We start from the raw sequence: 23,072 nt of genomic DNA, 5'->3' as shown, positions 1-23,072 counted from the left end.
GGACCCTCTGGGCCAGCAGTACTCAGAGGGTGGTCAGAGATCGCCTCTCAAAATCATGAGGACTTGAGGCTCATCCTCAGACATGCCCACTTGGAATCCAGAGGGGTGGATCTTGGAGTCTGCCTCCTTGACGAGGGGCCCCGGGGATTTTCCCCGGTACCCTGACCCTGACCCTGACCCCGACCCCGACCCCTGCTGCAGGCCCACTCTCCTCTGTTGTTGAAAGGAAGTCTTATCCGCTCAGGCTGCCATAACAACATACCACACACTAGAGAGCTTAAATAACAGAGTCCACAGCTTAAATTTATTTTCTTGCAATTCTAGAGGCTGCAAGTCCAAGATCGAGGTCCAACAGTGTCAGTTTCTGGTGAGGGCTGTCTTCCTCGTTTCCAGATGACTGCCTTCTCCCCTTCTTGCTGTGTCCTCACAAGGTAGGAGAAGGGGTGGTAGAGAGAGAGAGAGAGAGAGAGAGAGAAAGGAGGGGGGTGGGGAGAAAAGAGAGATGGAGCCGCCATCTCATGCATATACATGAGATCCTAAGGTTTGGCATATTTTTCACATGAAAAGCAGGATGGTGAAGTGTATATTCAAAAGAACATTGAATTTCAAGCTTAAAGACCTGGGGTCTCATCTCACTTCTCCACTTAATCTTTTGTGATCCTAACATTTAAAAACCTAATTTTTCTGAGGCTCAATTTCCTGGTCTGTAAATTAGGGATAACAATACTCAACTCTCAGAGTCATGATAAGGACTAAAAGAATGAGAGCCACGGAAGGTGACCAGCACACTCAAGGACATACACAGGCCCCCATCCGTATTGGTTGAGGATGGAGGATGGAGGAGAGAGAATCAGCCCCAGCCTGGGAGCAGTGGGAGCAAAGGCCTGGGGTAGGAAGTGCACGGTAGGGGCGGGGGACTGGGCAGAAGGCGGTGGCTGGAGCTTAGAGCGTGTGAGGGGTCAGCAGCTGTGGGCAGGATCTGCAGGGACTTCGAGGGAGTGATGGGCTCTGCTGTTTATTTGCACGCCCACTCGGCTCCCACCCAGATATGTCCCCCAGACCCCCCACCCTATGCCCAGAGCACTTGTCCTCCTTGCTCTGAGGGGCGCTTGACTGCCTTGGACCCCCTTCCTGTCTCTCCATTTCTCTGCAAGAAAGTGGACCCCTCCTTTGTCTCTTTCCCATCTCTTCTTTGCTGTATGCTAAGGTTAAGCTGGACCAGAACAATCCAGAGACCAATGAGGATGTGAATGGCCAGCCAGAGAGCTGATACCTGTTAAGGCTTTGTCACCCTGTGGCCTCAGCCGTGTTGCTTCTCCTCTCTTGGTGTCAGCTGTTTATTTGCAAAGCCGGGGCTGGACTCGATGAACAGCGCTCAGTCAAAGGCCTTTTGTAGTTGAAATATTCCAGAGGATGCTGTCACTTGGAAATACATTCTCTCAGGTGAGTGAGTAATAAATGCAACTTAAGAGGCAGACAAAATATATTCCAGCAACAAGCCCAAGGGGGTGGGTAAGGAAAAGGTCTCTGAGGGTGAAAAGGATAAGGACTTCTGGGCTGGGAAACCTCCAAGTTCCCATCTCTTTGTGAGAGTCTGTGAGTCTGTTACATTTCAAGTCAGCTTCAGAAAGCACTTTCTAACTAGCAAAATGGTCCCATGATGGAAGGCACCACTTGGGGAGAGAATGAGCCCCCTGTCACCAGCATGTGCAAACAGAAGCCAGATAAACCATTGGCAAGGACACTGTAGGATGGAGGTTGTAAACGGAAATGTGTTCAAAGGCCAGGAATATATTTTGAGAGAGAGAGAAGAGAGGCCACATTCACATAACTTTGATTACTGTATATTGTTAAAATTGTTCTATTTTATTACTAGCTATTGTTGTTAATCTTTTACTGTGCCTAATTTATAAATTAAACTTTATTTTAGGTATTTACATATAGGGAAAACCATAAGCTATGTTGAGTTCGGTACTATTGAGGTTTCAGGCATCCACTAGGGGTCTTGGAATGTATTAACACTTTCATCCTACCTGTTCCTAAATCGGGATTATTTTGTAATCTGATGATTACATGTTTATAGTAATTAGCATGTAATTTTATAGTAAATAACGTGTTTATAGTAATTCTCAGATCATTGGCTCTGACAGGCAAATTTCTTTTTAAAGCTTGATGTTAAATATATTTTAAAGCTATCATAATTTATCGAATTTTTTTGAAAAAGAACAATGGGGAGGATAAGGGGGACTACTATAGATATAAACAACAGAATATTATTCAGCCTTTAAAAAGAGGGCACTCCTGCCGTTTGTGACAGCACGTGTGGACCTGGGGCACATTATGCTAAGTGAAATAAGTCAGGGAGATGATTCTTATTTGTGAATGTAAAGAGCAGCCCATTGCGTGTTTAATATACAAGCCCACTTCATCTGCTTTGGTGGATTCTGCATCACTGAGCCATAAGTATGTTAGTGGTTGGATGTCAAGAGCAGACGATGTTGATGACAACTGGGCAGGTAGCATCTCCAATGTGGAATGCTGAACAAAGGGATGATTCACATCCCAGGTGGGACAGAGCAGGACAGTACAAGATTTCATCACGCAGTTTAAAACTTATGAATTGTTTATTTTTGGAATTTTCTATTTAATACTTTCATACTATGGTTGACTGCAGGGTAACTGAAACTGTAAAAAGTGAAAACGTGGATAAGGGGGCACTGTTGTACCAAAGTTGCTTTATCCATCTAGCCATCACACAGAAAGACAGATCAATACTGCATGATCTCACTCATATGTGGAATCTTAAAAAGGTGAACTCACAGAAACAGAAACTAGAAGGGTGGTTATACCAGCGGTGAGGGGTAGGGGAAATGGGGCAATGTTGGCCGAAAGGTACAAACTTGCAGATGAAAAAGTTCTGGAGACCTAATGTACAGCATGGCTATTATTAACTATACAGTGAATAATATAGGAATGATTCCTTTGTTCAGCATTCCACACTGTAGATGCTATCTGTCCACAAGTCATTGACATCATCTGCAACTATAGTTAATAACTATAACTATATAGTCAACAACTATAGTTCATAATCACTAATAACTACTAATTAATAACTAACTATACAGTTAATAAAATTAGCCATGCCTGGCTAATTTTCATCCTTGTTACTGTACAGAATCCTTAGTGTGACTATACCACAATTAATTCATCCACTCCTGTTGCTGGCCATTTAGGATGTTTCCAGTTTCAGTCTGTTACAAATCATGCTGCCATAAACATTTTTGAACGTCTTTTGATGGCTGTGTGTACGCATTTCTGTTGGGTGCATACCTAGGAGTGGAATTGCTGGGTCACCAGGCACGCATGTGTTCTGCTTATAGTAGAAAATGTCAATCAGCTTTTCAAAGGGGATGTATCCATTTATACCCTGATATCTGTGGATGAGTTGGATGCTCCAAATTTCCCTGTATTTAAATATTAACCACAAATTTTTAAACACCCTTTGCAGGCCAAATAAAATACAGATTTTATCTGTAGCTGCCTGTTTTCAATCTCTCGAGTGGAGAGAATTCAAATGGCAGAGCAGCTGAGAATTAGACAAGAGCGTTTCCAGCATCTCTTTTTGCTGGAGAGCTCAAAATTGGCTCCAGCAAATGGTTCAAGTCTTTTTGATTCCTCCACTCCCACCCAATACTCGCCCCCAAAGCTTGTAAAACAGGCTTCCCCCTCCCTACTTACCTCCCTAGACCGCCGTGAAGATTTACTAATAAATGTCTGCACATCAGCCAGTGAAGAGAAGCAGGGCTGTAAGTAGACAATAATCAGGATACTAATCAGCATCACATCCAAGGGCGTGACTCCATTAAGCCAGCCCTTGCCCCACCACTGACCCCCCTCCATTCAGCTGCTCACGCCACTATTCTGTAAGCAATTTTCAGGCATCTGCTCTGGGCTGGGCCCTCAGTTATAGGCTGGAGACCCAAAGGAGGGCCTGGAAGAGTTCCTGGACTCACCCTCCATGGTACGAAGGAGGAAACTGAGACCCAGGAACAGAAAGGAATCTGCCCAGGTCACAGCACCCTTCAGGCATAGCTAGAGGCTGAAGCCCCTAACTCTAGCTCAGGCTTCTTTCTGTACCTGTGAGGTCCCAGACATTCTCAAAAGGACCCCCCTTTTCCCCTGGCACTGCCTCCCTGCCACTCCCTGTGCCCCCCACTGCCTCTAGTCCCCACCAGTTCCTCCCTTTGCAGCTGCCTTGATGAGAAAGGGATTCTCCCATCCCCTCCCAATTTCCCAGTCCTTTTCTTTCTCCTCAAATCTGTCAGGCTGGCAACCCTATCTGGGTCTCACCGTGCCCACCCTGCCTCTCTGTTTCTGCACTGAGGTCCTCCTGGGTGGAGACTCTTCTGAGGTTCTGGTGTCAGACAGAGCTGGAACTGAATCCTGACCCTGCCTCTCTAACTAGATGTATAACCTTGGGCATGCCAAGGTTAACTTAACCTCTCTGTGCCTCAGTTCTTATATCTGTGAAATGGGGATATCAACAGTACTTATCTCCTAAGGTAGGTATGAAGAATAAATAACATAAAGTGTTTGGAAACCATTAACCTCAAGGCCAGACAGGAGTTTTGAGACGCAGAGTGATGAAGGCACCAGTCTGTGGTCACATAGCATGTCTGTGGAAGAGGCAGGAACTGATCCAGGTCTCCTGGGTCCCAGGTCTAGGCTCCACGCACCACCTTTGAGGGATTTCTGCTGGGCTGCGCAGACCAGTTGGATAGAAGTTTTAAGTCAGGCAGTAATGAGACTAAGCACCAAGAAAGAAGCCCATTTCCAGCCCTGACAAAAGGCTGTTCTCCTTAATGAGAGCCAACCATATACTAGGTGTACACATGCTTTATAGTCATGAACTCTCGTCTTTGCTACAAAGTAGGCAACCACTTTACAGAAGAGAATATTGAGGCTCAGAGAAGTCCACAAGCCCAGTAAGTAGTGGAGCAGAGTGAGAACACAGGTAGGGCATGTGACTTTGCAAGACACTAGGCTGCCACCTGCTGTGAGATTAGGTTGTTCACCTCTGCATAAACCAGTCCTCAGATAATTGCATGGGTGCTGGAGACTGAAGTGGGTATTGAGATCTCCTTTATTAGAACAGGCAATTGCATCTAGGATAGCCCCTGGGTTCTTACAGAATGACCTTTTCGGAAAACCTCTAGCTTCCCTTCCACGCTCTGGCCCCACCACCTTCACCTTTGCCTTTACCTTCACTGTCAGCAGGGGACTTCAGAGAGATGCACTTGCTGTGGTGTTCGGAATCATATTCTTTTTTTTTGTTTTTGTTTTTTGCGAGGGAGTGGGGAAGGTCTTTCTACGTTGCCCAGGCTGGCCTCAAACTCCTGGGCTCAAGCAGTCCTCCTGCCTCAGCCTCCCAAATAGGTGGGGAAATCACATTTCCTGTTGCTGAATCCAGATCGCACTCTGCCTGTTTTCCTCACTGGCTTCTGGGCATTTCCCTTCCTGCTCTTGAGCTCAGTTTCCTCATCTGTACACTGACTCAGTGGATCCTTCAAAGCGACCTTGACTCCCAGGCAGCCACACTTTCCCCAACATTTCTACCTGCTCCAGGCAGGTGAGACTCAGCTGGAGGCCAGAAGGAAAGCAATGGATTAGAATGATTCACACCAGGGAGTGAATGGCTGACCTCCCTACCACTCCCCTCCTTCCTTATCTTAGCCTTAAAATAAAAAACAAACACACACAAACAAAAACACCAGGGCAGTATCCTGGTGGCATCTTATGTGGACTGAAGAAGAGATGGGAACTAATGAGGAAGACAGGTGAGTGTGGGAACAGAAACCTCCACAGCTTGAGACCAAACCTCAGGCTCTGGAATCAGACAGAGCTGAGCTCAAATCAGTTCTGTCACTGACCAGAATTGTGGCCTTGGCAAGTTCTTGCCCTCTCTGAGTCTCAGTTTCCACATCTGTAAAAGAGAATAACAACCCCTGCCTCTGTGACTTGTAATGACTTTTGAACAAGATAACACACATGCAGTGCCCAGCACCGAGCTGTGCTCCTGATGGGTGCAAGGAGGTGTGGAGTCTCCTTCCTTCTTTCCTTGTATCCCACCACAGGATGTAGGCTTCCTCCCACCTCTACCTCCGGATCTGGGTGTATGGGCCATGAGTAGGGTGGTCTGACCCTGCCATCCAGGATGGGAGTGTGGCAGGTGACCTCCCTCCCAGAAGCCCCTCACCCTACATTCTCTGGCTGGGTGCAGATTTTGGAAGCTGAGGGTTGGCTGTGGGACAGGCCTGGCTCCAGACTATGGGGTGCCAGCCGGGGTGGCAGCAGGAAGCAGCTTGCCTCGAGGCAAGTTTGGCTCAGCCCACTGCTTTGTTTAGCTTCATACACTCAACTCCTCGCTTCTATTTGAAAACCTGAGTCTGATGGGATGGCCTGGCAGCTGGTGAGAAATGTGGGGAGCTGCATCTGGGCAGTGGGAGGCCTGACTGCATGTATGTGACAGCCTGGCCCTCTCTCTGCCTGGAATGGCATTCATTCATTCACTCATTCAGCCATCAAATATCTACTAGGTGCCTGCCATCTCCCAGGCTCTGTGATAAATGCTGGGATCCAGCTGCTGGGCAAGACTGACATGGCCCCTGCTCTCCAGGATCTGGGTGTGTTGGCTGGGAAAGGGCCATTACTCAAAGGAAGCACAAGCTGGTGTAAAGTGGTCAGTGCTCTCAGGGGTGGGCATATACTATCATTAAGGTGTGTAATGGGCATTAACCAGGTGGAAGGGAGAGTGACTTTGTTCCGGCCAATCCAGTCATCCAACAATGACTTATATCTATTCCGTGCTGGACCCTGTACTAAGCCCTTGATCGAATTGTCACTCTACTCACCAGAAGCTCCTTGAGGGCTGTGCTGAGGAGTAGTTATTCTCCCCTGGACCTTCCCTGCAAGACCCCAGCTTGATTGTGCAGAAGGGACTCAGATACTGGAACTGGAATTAAAAGCCATGCAGAAAAGCAGAGAATCCTTCTTGGCTGAATAGGGATTTCATGGAGGATCCCAGGTTATCACCGGCATTACTTGGAATGCTGGGGAAATGAGAGACTCAGGATTGAGTCCTGATTCTGCTACTCACAGGCTGTGTGACCTCAGGCAAGCCCTTTCCCTCTCTTGTCTTTAATTTCCCCTCTTATACAAGAAAGGGGTTGAAGCAGGTCAACTCCAGAGTCCAGGTCACAGAGCTCAGGACAAGGTCTAGTACAGAACAGGGGCCTGGGAATGCCTATGTCATTTGTCACAAGGGGCCAGATGCAGCCAGGTTTGGGGATGGGACAAGCAGCACTAATTGGTGTCATTAACACTTTCATCCTACCTGTTCCTAAATTGGGATTATTTTGTAATCTGATGATTACATGTTTATAGTAATTAGCATGTAATTTTATAGTAAATAGTGTGTTTATAGTAATTATCAGATCATTGGGTCTGACAGGCAAATTTCTTTTTAAAGTTTGATGTTAAATATATTTTAAAGTGATCATAATTTATTGATTTTTTTAAAAAGAACAATGATAATATGGCGATAGGTTCTGGGACACATGAGATAGGATTCTAGATCAAAAAGGAAGCAGAGATTTGCTTCCAAAGAATAGAATGTAGAAAAGGAAATAGCAGCTTCACCATGGAGAAACCTGGCAGACTCCACTTTACCCAAGTGATCCAGGTGAGCCTCCCCAGTGATGTCATGTGGCTATCATGTATCCATTGGTATGATGTAGCCAGAGGGCACTTCATCTCTGTTGAGTGTTTTCCATAAACCTTAACCTGTCTAAGCATGAGAAGAACGTTAAACAAACCCAGATTGGGGACATTCTACAAGATCCCCAGTCAGTCCTCCTTAGAACTGTCAAAGTCATGGAAAACAAGGAAAGACTGAGAAACTATCCCAGACCAGAGGGGACCATGGAGACTCATGACAACTAAATACAATATATGCTGGATGGGATACCAGTGCAAAAAGAGGACATTAATGGGAAGACTGGTGAAATCTAAGTAAAGTCTAGACTTTACTTATTAGTAATGTACCAATATCAAATGTCTTTGTTTTGATGTGTATAGCATGATAATGTACAATGTTAACAATGGAGGAAACTGGATAAGGGGTACATGGAAATTCTCGGTACTATATATGTAAATTTCTTGTAAATCTGAAATTATTCCAAAATAAAATGTTTAATTTTTTAAAAAAAGAAACAGAAAAACTTTTGGATACCAAAATTAATAAAGTCATTTGGCAAAAATAGGAAAAGAATGATTAATAAACAAAGTACCTTACTTCTTAGAAAATGCCATAGAAAAACTCATTTCATCCTAGTTGATGGGGTTAAGATTTTTAGTAGTTATAAAATTACTGAGAAAAAATTTTGAAACTAAACCAAAATATGGGGATTTGTGTAAGATGTTGTCTTATAACCTCCATGCCTTGGCTTGGTGTTAAAATCAGAGCTGCAGAAGGTGCAGGAAAACAAGGGTCACTAACTCTGGAAGGGTTCCTAAAAACTTTTTAGAAGAGGGGGCATTTTGAATAGGGTCTTGAAGGATATATAGGAGTTATCAAGCTAACTAGAAAAGATAAGAATAGGAATCCCTGCAATTATATTTAATAATATTTATTGGTTACCTGCTAATTGCTAAGCACTAGACTAGGCCCTGGGACTTTAGCTATAAATTAAACTGAGAAATAGTATCTGCCTTCATGGTGGTTTTTTTTTTTTATTTCTTATTACTTTCTACAACAGAAATTACACTGTGGTAAAGATGGTGTGTATTTGTATGTTTGGTAGGCATCCTAGGACTATCAATCACTGGACCTGCCCACCCACTGTGCCCACTCTGACTTCTAAGGGATGACACTACTCCACATTCAGCCTCTGCTGCCCAGGCCTCCGTGTTCTTGCTCCAGGCTGGCTTTACAGGTATGAGACCTCTGCAGTTGTACAGGCACTTGATTTTTATGCTCTACTGTGGCTGTCTTGAAATTCCTAGTAATTTGGCCAGGCATGGTGGCTCACACCTGTAATCCCAGCACTTTGGGAGGCCAAGGTCGGCGGATCACCTGAGGTCAGGAGTTTGAGACCATCCTGGCCAATGTGGTGAAACCCCGTCTCTACTAAAAACACAAAAATTAACCAGGCACGATGGCGCACGCCTGTATTCCCAGCTACTTGAGAGGCTGAAGCAGGAGAATCACTTGAACCCAGAAGGCGGAGGTTGCAGTGAGCTGAGATCATGCCACTACATTCCAGCCTGGGCAACAGAGTGAGACCTGGTCTCAAAAGAAAAAAAAAATTCTTAATAATTTTACCCTTCAACCTGCTTTGTAGTGAAGTCTGATAGTACAATGGAGCCTGCACGTGAGCAGAGGATATATGCCAGGTGGTAAGGCATGCATGCGTGGGCTCAGGTCTGCAGGGACAGTGTACACTGTGCAGATCAAGCAGTTGGCCTTGCCACCTGAAGTGCATACACACTACACTTGGGGTGTGTCCAGGGTGTGGTAGGACCCTGAGGGGTGGCCAGGCCCAGGACCTGGGCTCATATTGGTGGCAGTGGTGGCAGGAGTCAGGCCCCAGGAGAGAGGAGATGTGGCTACACTGCAAACAAACCACCCTTGATGGCGAGTGAGCTCTTTGCCCTGCAGCAATATCATCAAGCCAGGTACCTAGGAGAGACTGAATGATGAGCTGCTTCCTTTCCAAGGGTGACCACCAGCAGGAGAATGTGCTATTGAGTGACTAACGTTATTTTCAGTTGTGTCCACTGAAAAATGGGGTTAGAAGTATAAATTTTGATGACCTAAAAAATGAATTTGTAGAAAAATGAGTCAAAGAAAGCTTATAATCAATCAAGATATTACTAAAGTATTATTGAAGGATATAGAAAAGAAGAAATAAGCAACTCCATAGACTCAAAACCTCAAAAACTACTACTATTTGGGTGTATTTCTCTCTAGATTTTGCTGTGCATATTTTGACACAATTTGAATAACATATATTCCATCAAGTGAATATACCATATTTGCTTTCCTTGACATTTATGTGGTTTCCAATTTTTTATATTAAGACTTTGCTTTACATCCTTGTGCATAATTGTACTTTTAAATAAACTGTTTCATTTCAAAAAAGCATAAAGTTTTTCATGAATTTCAAGTAATTTTTAAACCCAGAATCTCTGTTCTTTTTTCTCTATGGTCTTCTTAGGTGAGCCATTCACTCATGTGTTTGGTTATTTCAGTACTGACTTCTCCTTAACTTTATAATAATCAAATTTAATAGCTTAGATGAAATGGACAAATCCTTTGGAAGATGCAAACTACCCAAGCTTCACTCAGGAAGAAATAGATAACAACAATAACCCTATATCTATTAAACAAATTGAATTTAAGATTGAAAAGCTTCCAACAAAGGGAACTCCAGACTCAGATGGCTTTACTGGTGAATTCTAATACCAAGTCATTTGAGGAAGAAATAATGCCAGTTCTACACAAACTCTTACAGAAAATAGAAGAGGAGGAAACACTTCTCATTTTATAAGGCTGACATTTCCCTGATACCAAAAGCAGACAAAGACTCTCCAAAAAAAGGAGAAAACTACAGTCTAAAATTCTTTATGAATATAGATGCAAAAATCCTCAACAAAATATTATCAAAGCAAATTCAGCCGTGAACACAAAGAATAATTCATAATTGCCACATTGGGAAATAAACTAAATGTCTTTCAACTGGTGAATAAATAAGCAAACTGTGGTGCATTTATGCAATGGAATACTGCTCAGCAATAAAAAGGAAGACTCAAAAGGCTTCATACTGTAGTCCGCTATTTATATGACATTCTGGAAAAGGCAAAATTATAGGATCAGAAAATAGATGATTGATTGCCAGGATGGGGAGAAGGATGTCGATGGAGGCACATGCATAAGGGAATTTTTTGAGGTGATAGCATGGCTCTGTATCTTGATTGATGTAGTGGTCACATGACTGTATGTGTCAAAACTCACAGAACTGTATACCAAAAAGCATACATTGTATTATATGTAAATTATATGTAAATACAACATGCAAATAATACCTCATTTTAGTATATGTAAAGAATACCTTAATTTAAAAAAGAATTAAAAGGCCATCTATGCTTCCATTTATGATGTCCTGGAAAAGATAAAACTAAAGGGACATAAAATAGACCAGGATTGTAGGAGTTGGGGTGGAAAGAGGGGTCTGATTACAAAGAGGCAGGAAGCAGCACTTGGGGTGATGGAAATATGCTATGTCTTGATTATGGTGGTGGTTAAAGGCTGTGTGTGTTTCACAGATCTGTATACCTCAAGCTGGTGAATTTTAGTATATGTAAAACCTTAATACATCTAACTTTAAAAAGTCTTATGCCCCGGATCTCACATGACTGCTTGGTTTATCTATGGCAGCAATCCTTAAAAGGACATATGTATACATTTTTCTCAAGGCATTTATTTATGTCAAATTATCATCAAATGCCCTGCCTCCAGATCTCAGTTTTCTAATCGGTAAAATGGGGATTTGGCCCTGTTACCATGTCTTTTAATGGAGAAGGGCATGTATATTAGGCTGTTCTCTCATTGCTATAAAAACAATACTTGATACTGGGTAATTTATAAAGAAGAGAGGTTTAATTGGCTCACAGTTCTGCAGGCTGAATGGGCATGGCCCCAGCTCTGCTCGGCTTCTGGTGAGGATCTTAGGAAGCTTACAATCATGGCGGAAGGAGAAGCAGAAGCAGGTGTCTCAGATGGTGACAACGGGAGCAAGGCTGGGGGAAGTGCCACACACTTCTAAAAAACCAGATCTCGGTCAGGCACAGTGGCTTATCCCTGTAATCCCAGCACTTTGGATGCCGAGGTGGGTGGATCACTTGAGGTCAGGAGTTTGAGACCAGCCTGGCCAACATGGTGAAAACCGGTCTCTACTAAAAATACAAAAATTAGCCGGGAGTGGTGGCCCGTGCCTGTAATCCCAGCTACTTGGGAGGTTGAGACAGGAGAATCACTTGAACCTGGGAGGTGCAGGTTGTAGTGAGCCGAGATCAAGCCACTGCACTCCAGCCTGGGCGACAGAGCGAGAGTCTGTCTCAAAAACAAAAACAAAAAAACAGATCTTAAGAGAACTCATCATCTCAAGGACAGCACCAAGCCAGGAGGGATCCATTCTCACGACCCAGACACCTCCTACCAGGCCCCACCTCGAACAATGGGGATTACATTTCAACAGGAGATCTGGGCGGGGACAAATATCCAAACCACGTCATCATGGTTTTGAAGTTTGACAATCCTAAATTCAAAATCTGTCTCCATGACTTCCCAGCTGTGTGCCTTGGCACCTTAGGTCACCTTACCAAGCCCCAGTTACCTCATAGGAAAGCTGCGAGGACCAAATGGCAGAGTGCATAGTCAGGTGCAATGACAGGCACCGAGTAAACCTGCCATAAGTGGCACCAGTGTCTCAAGTCCTGCTAGTCCCAACGCATACAGAACTGTACAGGGAGACACAGAACTCTGGGATGGGCACCTGTGGTGGGCCAAATAATGCGCCCCAGACATCCACATCCTTATCCCCAGGACGTGGGAATGTTGCCTTGCGTGGCAAATGACACTTTGCAGATGGGATTAAGGACTTGAGATGGGGAGATTATCTGGCTTATCCAGGTGGACCAAATGGAATTACAAGGATCCTTATAAGGGAAAGAGGGAGTTAGGAGAGACAGAGGCAGAGAAGGGGATGTGCAAACAGAAGCAGAGGTTGGAGTGACGTGGGTCCACCAGCCAAGGAATGCAGATCACCTTGCTGGAGAGGCAGGGAGATGGAGCTTCCCCTGGAGCCTCCAGAGGGTGCCAGCCCTGGTGACCCATTGACACTTCTGACCTCCACGAAGCCACCGAGTTTGTGGCACTATGTTACAACAGCCACAGGAAATCAACACAGCGTTTCGGGTGAAGGGATCCTATTTCCCAGACCAGTGGGACTTGGTGTGGTGCATGAAGGGCATAGCTCTGAATGTGAATTCCATGTTCTTGGAACTGGGCCCGACTGGGGCAATAGAGAATGCAGGGCCCCAGCAAACATGGAAGCTCTGAGTACAGTTGCTCCTGACCATGGTCTAATGCGTGTCGTCCACCTCCTCCCTCCTGGCTCACAGACCCACCCAGTGATCCTGCCTCTGTCCTCTCACCCCCGCATCATGAAGCAGCTGCCGGTAGGCTGGACCTCCATAGGGAAAACTGTTAAGTGTGTGTCCACTCCAGAAGCATGACCCTCCCCGGTTTTCTCAAGGACCGTCCTGAAAACTTCACCCTGCGTCTGATGACAAACCAGTATTGAATTTGGAAGCGATTCAGATCCTGCCTTTTTTTGGCTTTGTTTTTTTTTTGAAGGTGCTTTCCACTGATGTCCACTGGAGGGTACTGTGTACGTGTTTATAGGAGGCTCTGAACACAGAACTCAGCATCCGCGTGGCATGCAAACACTGAAGTAGAGAAACATGGACAAAGACATATCTACACACGTGTGCCTATGTTCAGACATATGGATGCACACAGACTCACAAATCATCACACACATAGCAGTCACACATATGCGGATAGATGTGTATATCTATATACAGTCATACGTCACTTAATACGGACGCGTTCTGAGAAAGGCGTCATTAGGCAATTTCCTCTTTGTGTGAACATCGTAGACTGAACTTACACAAACCTAGATGGCAGAGCCTACTACACACTGAGGCTGTACGGAATAGCCTATTGCTCCCAGGCTACAGACCTGTACAGCAGGTACTGTGCTGAACACTGTAGGCAATTGTAACACAATGGTAAGTATTTGTGTATCTAAGCATAGCTAAACATAAAAAAGGTACAGTGAAAATACCATATTATAATTTGGGCCACTGTCGCATATGTGGTCTGTCATTGATGGAAACTTCATTATGTGATACATGACTATGGAGGTACATAAACACGAGCAAGTACGCACGCAAACATGTACTCATGAATACAGTCACGGTGCCATAAAACACACACACAGAGGTGCACGAAGCACATATCCACATACATGGTAGATATGTTCAGATACACACAGGTTTACATAGGTTCATCTACACACACATACACATACACACACACACACACACACACACACGCACACAGACCATTAATCCATACATGCATGTAGCCGATTATCATTGGCAGACAAACAGCCACATGCAGAGTGTCATGAATACACATTCTGACATGCAGACTTAAGCATAAAAACATAGACATGCATCCGTGGCTAAACACCAACACGTGTGCACATACGTGTACTCCCTGGCCTGGGCCTTTGCTACTTCACTTGTTCAAAAAATGCAATCCCTTGAGGGATGATTAACACTGTGGTGTTTTCTAAAGAAAACAATGGAAATGTCAACTTCATTGTCCCTATAGAACTGTTTTATTTGTTAAATGTTAGTGAAAGGCATTTCTAATAATGTACTGAGTCTTTTAAGAGAAAAATAGTAGCCCTGCTCTGACAAAGCAGAAAACCCAAACCATAGTTTCGCAAACACCTAATTAACACATGGAAGGCTCAGAGCTACTCTAAAAGAGATTCTGTTTTTTTTTTTTAAAGTGGAGAAATTTCAGATTCAGATAAAACCAAAAAATTATGTGAAGTTGAAGAATTGTTAGGTCCAAACAAGTCCTTCCTTCTCAGAAAGGGTGATGATAAAGAAACATGGAGACTTTGCAAATGATTATCAGATGGCCAGGCCTGGAAATTTGCCTTTGATAAGACAAAGACATTAAAATAAAGGAAAACATGAAAGGAGAGAGAGAGAAAAGGGCCTATGAAAACAGTTGACTCTATAATAACATTGCAGAGCTGAGAAAAGTCAGCTGTCAGAAATGCATTCCGCTTGGCAGCCAAGCCCTGCCATGAAGTGCGAGTGGAGCACACTCCAGCAGAGGATCCAGGGGGTGTGAGCAGCTTTGCATGGACACACGCTGTTTATTGCTCGCCTCTCTTCACAGGATCCTCAGAAGGCAGGGGAGGATGCTCAGGGTCTGGGCAGGACACCCAGGTCCAAGTCCCATTTCTGCCACCCCCATAGCGGCTCCCTGCTCATCCCTGGGTCTCGGTCTCCCTAGGTATACAGTGAAGAAGTTGCCTTCTCTAATCGCTAAAGTTCCTTCCTCCTCTGACACTATCATTACCAGCTCCCTGCACCTCTGACACCCCACTGCCTCTGGTGACCGGAATCATTGCAAGTGGCTCTGTTTGTGCATTTAACAAAGTGCTGGTTCCAGCCCATCAGCTCAATACCAGCGAACAATAGCTCAGGAATAGATAAAAGGCATTCATCAGGCAGCCAGGCCCAATTATCATGTCACGCTGAATGAATGTATTTTAAAATCTTTTCTGACAAGAAAATGTTCCATGTAGGTACCTTCAAATTAGCTGGAAAATCCAGAAAATTTGCTATTAGGCCTTCTTTGAAGAACCTTTATTCCCCCCCACTGTTCCAGAGGAATTCCTTGGATATTATTAATTCCTTCCAAGAGTGTGACCTTGTGCCTCCTGCTGGGACTGAGACACTTTTCCTGTCTGCTCAACTCCACGGGAGCCATTGCAGATGACACACACATGGCCCGAATGGGAGATCACCTGTCCATCAATTTCAAGTGTCTGGGCGCTAGTGGAAATTCTGTTCAGTTTTGCTCCACCAGCATTTGCTGAGCATCTGTTGTGTGTCTATGAGCCCTGCAATAAGAGCTGAGTCCACCCAGCTCTTGCCCCTGAAGGGAGACTCCACTAAAGGGGGCATGCTTACAAACAGATCAGTGTCAGGGGGAGGTCATGTACCAGAGCTGAAAGCCAGACAGACTTCATTTTGAAGCCTGATTTCGTCACTGGCTGTGTAACTTTGGGCAGGGGACTTCACCTCTCTGAGTCTCACTTTCCTCACCTCCAGAATGGGGGAGAAGCACATAACTCTGGGGGTTGTTGTGAGGAGGGACAGTTTCAGGGGAGGCAGGCCATCCCTCCCTTTGACCCACATCGTGGTCAAGGCCTGGCACCCCAGCCTTTTCCCTGGCTCCCTGGGCTGAAGGGTTGTTTCTGACCTCTTCTCCACTCACAATACAGCAATCTTTCTGCGGCTTTATCTTCAGCTTCATGGTGCAGATGGTTCCATTTGGCTGTGGCCTGGGAGAAGAGATTTCTTTGGCATGGTGAGAAATTGTGTCAAATGTAGAGCTACCTGGAACTCGTGGCTCTGGTGTGGAGATCTGAAAAGGCAACGGCAAGCACTTGGTGGAAAAGAGACTGACTCAGGGTATTAATTCCCAAGTGAATACAGAACAATCTGCTTGCATCTTCATGTGACTGTGGGTTTGTGCAGGAGCAGTTGCTAACTATGGGAGATTTCTCATCAACCCACAGAATTCCAGGGCTGGAGGGGGATCTTAGAGGCCAGCTAGTTCTTGTTTTACAAGTGGGGAAACAAGTCCAGAGAGGGGAAGGGGCCTGCTCAACAGCAAACAGTGAGCCATGAACAAGTTGGGCCTGGATCCCAGATGTCCTGTGCCCTTGGCCTCTGTTCCTCTTTTGATCCTGCTGTGCCGCAGATCACCACCTAGAGGACTGGGATTGGGCTCCTCTTTCCAGCCTTCCTCCTGGCCCCAGTCCCCTTGGTTCTGCCCTGCCCGAGCCTACAGACTCTTCTTGTTCTCAGCCGTGGGACATCTCAGGTTCTTCAGTGCCTTAGTGTGGAGTTCCTGCCTCCACCAGCCCTGGGGACCCCCAGGCCTCAGGAGAAGTCCACACATTCCCACTGGCACCTCTTCAGTGGGATTACTCCCAACTAGTCAAAGTTGGGCTTTGTGGATGATGGAATCACAGAGTGAAGATTTGACTCTAAGTTAGCCCTCCATGAAAGGGGGAGCAATTACACCAAGAACAGATAAGTGGTTCATGCCTGCCATCCCAGTGCTTCAGGAAGCCAAGGCAGGAGGATGGTGTGAGGCCGGGTGTTTGAGACAGCCTGGGCAATACAGTGAGATTCCATCTCTACAAACAAATTTTTAAAAATTAGCTACTCAGGAGGCTGAGGCAGGAGACTTACGTAAGCCCAGGAGGTTGAGGCTGCAGCAAGCAGTGATCGCACCACTGCACTCTGGCCTGGGTGACAAAGCGAGATCCTGTTTCAAAAAAAAAAAAAAGCACATCCTCACTGTGGCTCTCCCTCCATCCTGCCTCCCTCCCATGCACCTCACATCTCTGGACTGTACTCCCTCGGCTGTGTTGACTCTGCTTTCTGGAGGACGTAGCAGGGACACTTTGTTCTCCCCGCATCAGAAAGGTTATCCTGAATCATTCATCTCACACCATTGTACCCCCAGATCACAGAGACGTTGTGATCCAGAGGAGGGCTCAGGGTCCCAGCCAGGCAGATCTGAGTGCTGGCCCCACCCCCGGCTGGCTCTGTAGACTGAGGAGGTTGCAGAGGTGGATACTGGGGGGCAGCTTGCTCAGCACCCTTCTGCACTGCTGGTTGGAGAGGCTGGAGAGCTGACCTTGTGTTTTCTGTGTTCTCCCCACTCTCATGCAGCTAGGGCCCTGGGGCATCAAGTAGACACACTCCTGTGAGGTCTGCAAAATGCAAGTGAGTCAGGGGTCACCTTCCTTTCTGTCTCCTTGGCTGTTCCCAGCAGTGGGCAAGGCTGAGGTTTTCCTGTGGCAATGACCCAGTGTCTGTTACCCACATCCCTGGAGCAGTCACAGTGGCAGAATAGTCTGAATGCTTCCTCTGCACATTCCTGGTCAGAGTGAAATGAACAAAGTCCTATCTGGAGAAAGTACCAGGCAACACATGCTCAATTAGTAACTAGGAGGATGCAGATAGATGTTTTCCTTTTCCTAAGGAACCGCAGCTGAACTGGCCCTATGACTAGGGTGACTGCAAAAGTAAACACGAGCCACTTATCCCTTTTTTCTAAGAGACGGAGTCTTGCTGTGTTGCCCAGGCTGGAGTGCAGTGATACAATCATAAGCTCACTGCAGCCTCGACCTCCTGGGCTCATGTAATACTCCTGCCCCGCCTCCCAAGAAGCTGGGACTACCAGGACGTGCCACCATGCTTGGTTAATTTTTAAATTTTTTGTAGAGATGGGATCTCACCATGTTGAACTCCTGAGCTCAAGCCATCCTCCTGCCCTGGCCTCCCAAAGTGCTTGGATTGAAGGCATGAGCCACCACGCCCAGCTGATGCTTTAAAAATCTTAACTAAACCTGAACCTGCTTCCTCTGAGCCTCGTGCTTCACCCTTTACGAAGTGCTTTCTCACGCATGACCTCATGTGCCCCTCTGTTCAGCTGGGAGGTAGCAAGGGTGGGGAAGGATCACCATTCCCATTTCCAGAAGAGGCAGCATCAAGCAGGACCAGTGGAAGGTGCTGGGGTCAAGGTGTCAGGCCGAGCTGAGTATCAGCTGCATGAGGACCTGGGAAGGGGTGCTAGGGCCAACAATCCCAGAGCCCAGGTGTGGACTAAAGAGTCATCCAGACTAAGATACCCCTCATGTGCCTTTTACTACTTCTCTGCTTCCATAGAAACCTGGAGACTTGGGGATTATCTGTGGGGAGGTTCTAGCTTCCCTCCCACCTTCATAACCACACAGGGCCTGGGGACCAGCTTCATGTCAACAAGCCAGACAGTGGAATCTTCACTGCCAGTGCTGTCCAGTGAGGTGGGGTGGGCTCTCTTTGATCTGGGTTCACATGAGTGCGGGAGGAAGAGAAACAAGGCTGGCAAGGCGGGTTGCAGTGAAAGGCCTTGATGACAAATAAAGCAGCTTCGTATGACCTTGCAGGAGGGGGGAAGAGAAGAGTTTAAAACCTTGTGACCTCTAGGTAAGCTGCATGTTGGGAAGGGCACAGATGAGATGAAATCCATCCATCAAACAACCACTCAGTGAGCAGCAAGTCCAGATGGGGCCTGTGCCAGGGTGGGCCAGCACACAACAAGTGGGAGACCAGGAGAAGTCTCTAAAGCAGAAGGAAGAGACCAGTACCCAGGCTCTGGGCCAGGCACAGGCTGTTCACAGCTGGATGTCTCCACCTCAGACTGTATCTTTCGAGGCAACACCTTCAGAGGCAGCCCCAGAGGTCCACAGCTGCCAGCTTCCTCCTGTCTCTCTTGTAAACACAGATGTTTTATTACCTTGTCAAAGGAACGCTCTTACAGCTTGCCTTGGGGAAAACAGAAATTCAGCCCCTTCAGCCTCCTGAAAAACTGCCATTGTGAGGTCTCTGACTTGAACACAAAACTGCCGCCTTCTCTTCTTTGAAAGCAGAGGAGGGCCTCCCGTCTTAGGCCTCAGTTCCTTTAGATGGGAAAGGTAGGAGTTGGATAAGAAGAACCTCTTCCTTACAGTTTACCAGGTTATCTCCCCACTGGACTGGGGCCTGACGGCCTGGGCTGTGTCTCCCAGAGCACCTGCCAAGGTGTAGGCTCTCAAGACACGTTTGTGAATGAATGAATGAATGAATACATACATACCTGAGAGTGCCTTTTTGCTGTGTTGTCTTGGGATTTCAAAGCAGCCTGTGAAACACAACTCGAGTTGCCCTCCACCCACTGGAGGTGAAATTTGGTGGCTGCTCCAGGGTTTCAGGCTCTTCTTGCCACCAGGTTTAGGGTTGGCCATGAACTTCCCGCGAGTTATTTCAGATCAGGGACAGAGAGGGCTGGGGCTGCTCCCAAAGGACACATATTTCTCAAGGACAATTGAATCCCTCAATTCACACAACAGCTGCTGTCTGGTTTGATGCCCACTTCCCATCACATTCTAAATAATGATCCAGAAACCCCTGTTCCTGGGACCCAGTGAAGAATGACTGCTGAGGGCAAAGGGCAGCCTCAACTTAGCCTCTTGATGGCTGCCTCAGAAAGGCAGCTGGGATGCAGGAGAAAGAAGTAGACATTGAGCTGGGTGGATATGGATCTGTCTGACCCACCCCTGTAACTTTGGGATGCAGGCAAGTTCCTGGACCTCTCTGTCACTCAGTTTCCTCTTCTGTAAGACAGGAGGATTAATATGGATCCTGGGAACTGTAGGCTCAGAGTGCAAGAAGTGCTTGGTTAAGCTGGGTTCCTGTCCCTGGTTACAGCTCCCTCTAGTCACTGAGGGACCTTGGCAGAGTCCCTGAGCATCTGCAGAGCAGACCTCATCATATCCACCTCATGGAGCTGCAGTGAGGGTTAAATGAGATGATTTACATAAAAAGATTTGTAAACTGAGAAGTTTGTGCAACTCAATGGGCCTAATACTGTATTTTTAAAATATCTTCAAACAAGATGACTACATGTTCTACTAAATCGAAAGTGTGTTGGCCTGACTGTGGAGGTGATTTGAGTCCAGACCTGTGAGTTAAGTCACTTTCTCTCAATAAGTCAATGGCTGGAGCGTAGGGCATGTAGTGATAGTGGGAATTTGGGACAGTGGTGATTAGGGTGATAGGAGCTGATGCTAGAAAAACGGTGAATTAAGACAAACAGTTTTAGGCTTTATCCAGTAGGCAATGTGAAACATGGAAAGTCTTTCAGTGGGAGCAAGAAATGATCAGAACTGGCAAATGGAACATTCTAGTGGCCTGCATGGAGGATGGATTGGGGAGGGTGAAACTGGGGCCAGGGCAACTGATGCACAGTTATCCTGAGGTCCAGGAGAGGGATGGCAAGGCTGAAACAAGGTCTGTGTGACTCCGAGGTCCAGGCCTCACTCGTTAATTGAATATAGGATGGGAGACTTTTTACTAAGTGCAATGCTGAGGATAAGAGTATTAACCTTTTGTAGGAGGGGTTAAATGTCATGAGCAGGAGACAAGCATTGGTTGAGCATTGCTTCACCCCAGCCTCCCAGAAGGCCCCTCTCTGGCTTGGTAATGATTTCTTTGAAGTTACTAAACATGAACAGATTTGTACTTTGCTCTACTTGTTTGAGTGAATGTTTTTATTTAGGCCTTTATTTTTAAGGCCACTTTCTTCCATTTAAGGGGGCCAATGGCTTCCATCATGGAAGTAGCACTTTCTCCCCATAAGAAATGAAAATCCTGCAGGCCCTGGGTGGATGACTGGGTCTCTTTGTGGGGTGGTTTGAGCAAGGGAGCAGCAGGATAATGTCCGTGGGGCCAAGGCTGACCCCAGCCTCACTTTTGTCAATATATTCCCCCTGGTGTCCTCAATCCTGGCTCTCTGACGACTGGAGTCAATATCTACTTTAATGTGTTTTGGTCTCATTAACATGGACTGGATTAACCAGCCCGCATGGGCTTTTCAATTAGGAAGATAAATTTCTGACAGTGTTTACAAAGGGATTAGATACCTGCTTAGCATGTGACAGGCCTTGCCTTCTCTTCCTCCCTCCTTCTCCCCCTCCCTCCCTCCATCTCTTCCTCTCTTTTCTCCTTTGCTCTCTCCCTCATTCCCTCCCTCCCTCCCCTTCCTTCTTCCTCTCCCTCTTTCTTCCCTGTGTTCCATGAATGAATGGGCTTACTCTGTTTCCCTTTTAGGGATTGCTATGGTTTGGATCTGTGTCCCCACCAAATCTCATGTTGAATTTTCATACCTAATGTTGGAGGTGAGCCTGGTGGGAGGTGATTGGGTCATTAAGTTGGATTTTTTGTGATGGCTTTTCTGTCCTTCAGTCCCAAAGGTCATCTCAGAGCAGCAGCAGCAGCAGCAGCAGCAGCAGCAGCAGCAGCAGCAGCAGACAAGCTTTGAGGGGCCCAAAAAGCAGGCCTAGCACCGTCCCCTTGGTGCTGTTCTCGCGATAGTGAGTGAGTTCTCCTGAGATATCTGTTCATTTAAAAGCGTGTGGCACCTCTACCCTGTCTCTTGCTGGCTTCTCCTCCCACTGTGTGACGTGCCTGCTCCCCCTGTGCCTTCTGCCATGATTGTAAGTTTCCTGAGGCCTTCCCTGAAGCTGAGCAGATGCCAGCATCCTGCATCCTGTAAAGCCTGAAGAACTGTGAGCCAATGAAACCTCTTTTCTTTATAAAATACCCTGTCTCATGTATTTCTTTATAGCAATGCAAGAATGGCCTAATACAGGGATATTTGGCTAGATGGGCTGGTATGAGTAGACATGTGATTAATATCATTTAACCATCCTAGGTGACATCATTCCAGCTGCCCAGCTCTACTCCAGCCTTTGCTTGCACACCTCCAGCCCCTGAAAGCTCACTACCTCAGGGGCCAGCCCATGTCACTGACCACAAGAAGGCTCTTCCCTGAGCTGAGCTGCCACCTGCCCCCCAAAAGAGTTCCATCTCATGTGCTAGGCCTGCTTTCTGGGACCTCTCAAAGCTTGTCTGCTGCTGCTGCTGCTGCTCTGAGATGACCTTTGGGACTGAGAGACAGAGATCTCATGCCTCCCGGGGGTCTCCCTCTGTGCTGGACAGCGCACCCCTCTCAATGTCTCATCCTTTGCAAGGAGGCACCATTTGCGTCATACAGTCACATGTGTATAGTTTCCATCATGCTATAAATAGCCTTTTGTGCTCCTTTTTTAAATTAAAAATACATTGTAAACATTGTTCCACATGCTATGCCTAATCCTCAAAACACAACTACCCTTTTAAGCACTTCAGGGTATTCTGTGTGGAACCTCATGGATGGCTTCCCCATCTTCCACTGACGCATGCATACCTCGCTTTTCAAATGTTTTCACGGCATCTTTGTTGATTTGGCGTTTTCCTCCTGTTGAATAATCTCCTCAGGAGAAATTCACATTAGTGAGATGCCTGGATCATTTATCTTGATTTGACTTTTGGTACATATTATTAGATCGCCTTGCAAAATGTCTGCTACAGGATAAGTTTTACCTCCCCAGCGGAGTGTATCACTTCAGCTAGAAACTCATTTTAATATACATATTTTTTTATTTTGTGGGAATAAAGCCATCTCGAGGTTGTTTTAATTTGATATCTTGCAC

At 46.2% G+C, this 23,072-nt stretch overlaps 2 long non-coding RNA genes across 4 annotated transcripts in view, besides 1 other annotated feature; one reads left to right on the top strand and one right to left on the bottom strand.

Moving 5' to 3' along the window:
• The window catches only part of LOC107987065 (uncharacterized), a 65,083-nt gene that overhangs the window by 4,490 nt on the left and 37,521 nt on the right, over nucleotides 1-23,072 (bottom strand). Inside the window, exons 1-5 of one of the 3 annotated variants that reach the window (XR_001746669.2) lie at nucleotides 17,203-17,239; nucleotides 16,202-16,366; nucleotides 3,739-3,804; nucleotides 1,274-1,422; nucleotides 283-416 (exon numbers count right to left, since the gene is read on the bottom strand). This is a non-coding gene — a long non-coding RNA (uncharacterized LOC107987065). Of the gene's footprint in view, nucleotides 1-282; nucleotides 417-1,273; nucleotides 1,423-3,738; nucleotides 3,805-16,201; nucleotides 16,367-17,202; nucleotides 17,240-23,072 lie in introns of those variants that run through there. The other 2 variants (XR_001746668.2, XR_001746670.2) reach the window with 2 other exon arrangements.
• LOC105376040 (uncharacterized) lies at nucleotides 347-21,823 on the top strand. The gene is made up of 4 exons (XR_929605.1): nucleotides 347-431; nucleotides 1,208-1,443; nucleotides 8,862-8,993; nucleotides 21,784-21,823. It is a non-coding gene; the product is annotated as an uncharacterized LOC105376040 (long non-coding RNA).
• Nucleotides 4,910-5,204: a silencer, noted in NCBI's record as "tiled region #3476; HepG2 Repressive DNase matched - State 12:CtcfO, and K562 Repressive DNase unmatched - State 12:CtcfO". NCBI's record gives its function as "represses a minimal TATA promoter and a strong SV40 promoter by Sharpr-MPRA in HepG2 and K562 cells {active_cell/tissue: HepG2 | K562}" and the evidence as "EXISTENCE:reporter gene assay evidence [ECO:0000049][PMID:27701403]".

Source organism: Homo sapiens, chromosome 9, assembly GCF_000001405.40.
Source record: "Homo sapiens chromosome 9, GRCh38.p14 Primary Assembly".
NCBI lineage: Eukaryota > Metazoa > Chordata > Mammalia > Primates > Hominidae > Homo > Homo sapiens.
This window is presented reverse-complemented; position numbering and strand designations above follow the sequence as displayed.